The sequence below is a fragment of the Homo sapiens genome, chromosome 15, assembly GCF_000001405.40.
Source record: "Homo sapiens chromosome 15, GRCh38.p14 Primary Assembly".
Taxonomy (NCBI): Eukaryota; Metazoa; Chordata; class Mammalia; order Primates; family Hominidae; genus Homo; species Homo sapiens.
The window spans coordinates 91,340,232-91,344,425 of record NC_000015.10 but is presented as its reverse complement, the minus strand read 5'-3'; the positions used below and the strand labels follow the sequence as shown (position 1 = coordinate 91,344,425).

The 4,194-nt window shown below is 39.8% G+C and overlaps 1 annotated feature.

The window, feature by feature from the left end:
• Positions 714–1,913: an enhancer, noted in NCBI's record as "BRD4-independent group 4 enhancer chr15:91885743-91886942 (GRCh37/hg19 assembly coordinates)". NCBI's record gives its function as "activates an origin of replication core promoter dependent on BRD2, P300/CBP, MED14 and CDK7 cofactors, and independent of BRD4, by STARR-seq in HCT116 cells {active_cell/tissue: HCT116}" and the evidence as "EXISTENCE:reporter gene assay evidence [ECO:0000049][PMID:35650434]".

Below are 4,194 nucleotides of genomic sequence, written 5' to 3'. Positions count from 1 at the left end.
ATCTCAAAGTCTCCAGAAAGCAATTCCAGCAGAGACGTGATTGATTCACTGCATCCTCCATCACATTATCTCATACTGAGGACTGTCTGGGTCACCCAGAAAACTTCTATCAGCAAAGACAGATTCAATCAAAAATGAAAACTGAGGCTTAATTCAGCCTGAGGATGAAAATGCACAAACAAAATAATACTTGTGAAAATTACTTTACCGTGCTGTGCAAATATTAGGTGTTGTCCTGAGAGGGAAATAACTCTTTATTCTTTCCCCCAGAGAAATTCCCAGCCTCAAGTAGTGTTTAGTTTTTAGCTCTTATTCAAAAAAATTGCAAATAATGCATGAATCATCAGAGCATTTGCTTTCTGCAGGGTCATTTTTTTCTGTTTCTCCTCTTTCCACTGGCAATGAGGCCTTTTGAAGACTGGCAATTTCCTGATCAGTTGGTTCACTCCTTCATGCCCAGTCAGAAGTTCTTTAGAAAGCAGTGAAACGTGTCTTCTTTCAGTACCTTGAGAAAGGAAAGCTGACATGAGATAACTCAAAATCACAGGCAACTCACTTAACACTTTTATGTCTGGCTTTTGATCATATGCTCACCCTCAAAAATCTCAGAAGCAAACAAAGCACATACTTCTGCACACGTGCACACAAGATACGCACCCTCAGTGTGATGAGAAATTCCTGCCCTACCCCATGCTTCCTGTTAAAGCAAGATTCTGTCACTAACAGCTGGAGAACAAATGTTACAAACAGAAGGCAAGGGGTTGGAGGGGACATTTACCTATGGTCATAGAACCAAAGCCTCACCGAGTAAGCAAAAGCAGAGTTAAGAATGGACTGAAATGTTATCAATGTAAGAGAAGGACTTTTTCTTTTTTTTTTAATTTCATTTTATTATTATTATACTTTAAGCTTTAGGGTACATGTGCACAACGTGCAGGACCAACCCAAATGTCCAATGATGATAGACTGGATTAAGAAAATGTGGCACACATACATCATGGAATACTATGCAGCCATAAAAAATGATGAGTTCATGTCCTTTGTAGGGACATGGATGAAGCTGGAAACCATCATTCTCAGCAAACTATCGCAAGGAGAAGGACTTTTTAAACACTGTGACTTCCCCCACCCTTCCATTGCTAATGTGGTCTTACCTCTGGGAGTACTGATCTCTGCATTCTCAGGAAAAGGCTGTAAAAGCCATTTGCAGGTAAGTTTTCAGAGAAGATGGGAATGTTCACTTCCAGGGTGAATTCTCTGGAACTTTTCCATTTGTCTTGTTCCCACAGAAGAAAACCAAGTAAGGCAAACATGAAACTTGCTTCTACACATGGTTTCTATTTTCTCCCAAGTTGGTAATTAATTTCTCCCTCTTGTTTTATTTCTACTTCCACTCCTGTTTTCTTTATATTTTATTTTACTTTTATTTTTGTGGGTACATAGCAGGTATACATATTCATGGGGTACATGAGATGTTTTGATATAGGCATGCAATGTGACATACTCTCCTTATTCTTGACTCTTTTCTTTCCATTTTTTTCAATTCTTATTTAGAGGGGAAAAATGGTGAAATAATTTAAGAAAGCAAAAACAAAGAATAATTTAAGAAAAGGAAGTCTGCTGTTTTGAAAAAACACCAGAGGCACAGAGTTTTGAATCCTAAATCCTTATCCGAGGAGCTTCTTTGAAGAGTGTATCCAACTTCTCATCTTCCTCTTCTGCTATTAATTTTGATTTGAAGAGAAAATACAAAAATTAGCCAGGCGTGGTGGCAGGCACCTGTAATCCCAGCTATTCAGGAGGCTGAGGCAGAAGAATCGCTTGAACCCAAGAGGTGGAGGTTGCAGTGAGCCGAGATTGTGCCACTGCACTCCAGCCTGGGTGACAGAGTGAGACTCTGTCTGAAAAAAAAAAATCCTTTTTCAACTGAATGTTTTATGGACTGTGAACAACCTCATAAAGTAAATGTATTTGCCCCTGTCTTTTCTCATCTGCAGAGACTAGCGTTTGGATCTGTGGTAGCTTAAAACAAAGCACATGATGAGAAGGCTCATCCATCACAGCGGCAAGGACTAAAGGAAAGTTTCAAAGAACTGGGCACCATTCAGCTTTGTTGGCAAGGGGTGAATATGATGATAAAAGCTTGTTGTTGTCCTAGCCTTCACTAGTGATTGTGGAGATCACAGAGTCACGGGGAGTCCTGGGGCTGCTGAGGGAGGCGAAGGGGCTTATGGGGAAATGAGAATCGAGTGATTGGAGCAGACAGGAGAGGTACGTGTGCTGGCAGCTGTTTGGAGCATCAGTCTCCAGACCGGCTTGGCCCATTTCCTTGGTTTGTCATTGAACTTTGCTCATGACTGAAACAGGCACAGAGATACTGAGAAAAGTCCAAGGTGAAGAAACACCAGGTTTGCCATTTCTTGCCTAGATCTTGTAGCTAATGGAAGGAAAAACATAAGAAAATTTACTTTTTAAATGGTAATTTTATTTTATAAATAAAATGCTATCTAAATTGGAAGAGTCATACTTCTCTCACATTAGAACCCTTATTTTCCATTTTTCATTAAGAAATATTTCAGATAGGTAAAACGCTTCTGTCCTAACCCCATTATATTCCCTTCCCTTTCTACATTCTCCAAGACAAAGAGTCCATGTTGGTTTTGCCCACCAATGTTTCTCCTTATCATTTAGTCACACAGATAGATAGATATCATTAATATAAATACATATATATGTGCTAAACAATACCTAGTATTATTTTGCATCCTCTTAACTTTTTAAAAATGTACATATTTCTTTCTGCATCTGATATTTATCCATATGGAGGTAACGGTCCTAATTTAATTCAGCTGCCATTCAATAATCCGTGTTATGAATCTGCCACAATTATGGATCAATTCTCCCGTTGGCAGATATTTAAGTTGTCTCCAATTCTGCACAATTGTAATACTGGTGCAGTAAACATCCATGAACATCCTTGGATTTGTGTATACACATGAAAATGTCGTGACGTGCTTTTAATAAAACAGTACACCTTAGAGATTTTTTGTGCTGATACATGTTGTTATAGCTCATTCTTTTAACATGTGAACAGTATTCTAGCTTGAAAAAGAACTAAAATATATTGAACCAAGTTTCTTGCTGGACATTTAGATTGCCCCTCCCTTGGTTTTGTGTTGCTAGCAACAGGCTCACAGATGTCCTTGGACACATGTGAGTTTCTCCAGAGTGTGTACCTAAAATCATGACTGCTCAATGAAAGGGTGGGTCTGTCTCCAACTTTCCACACACTGCCTAACTGCTCTCCCGCTGACAGAGCGATTTGCACACCCACCAGCACTGCATGGGGAACTCCATTGTTCTACTGCCTCACAGTCTGTCAATATGGTCAGTCTTACATATGCTTTTGCAAATTGATGGATTTCAAATGATATCTCATATTTATTTTCACTTGCATGATTCCTCATAAAATTGAGCATCGTTTCATATATTTATTGACCATTTGGCTTTTATTTTCCATCAATTGTGTGCCTGTAGCCTTTGTTTCCTTTTTTTCTGGGTGACCATTAGGAGGATCTGTTTCCAATCATTTCCAGTCTTTTTTTTTAATTCTTTTTTAGGCAGAGTCTCGCTTTGTTGTCCAGGCTGGAGTGCAGTGGCACAATCTCAGCTCACTGCAACCTCTGCCTCCCAGGTTCACGCAATTCTCCTGCCTCAACCCCCTGAGTACCTGGGATTACAGGCACGCCCTATCACACCCGGCTAATTTTTGTATTTTTAATAGAGACAGGGTTTTGCCATGTTGGCCAGGCTGGTCTCAAACTCCTGACCTCAGGTGATCCACCCACCTCGGCCTCCCAAATTGCTGCAATTACATGCATGAGCCACTGCACCCAGCCCCATATTCTATTTATTTTAGGAGAGGACAGTCCATTGAACGTTTAACTAATGAAAGTCTAATATGCAAATAATAAATTGTCTAGCAAGTAAGATAACTTTTAAAACCCAGTAAATAAATAAAATGAATTTATGCCTGCTTCTCAAAGCTTTGGAGACTCCACCATGATGACTATACTATAGGTGACAGCTATCCCCAAAGGACGTGGACTCAGCTTGCAGAGGGAATCCAGCACTGCTTCATGACCCCTTAGCTAAGGGAAGAAGGAAGGAACTGACATTAGTAAATATTGACCT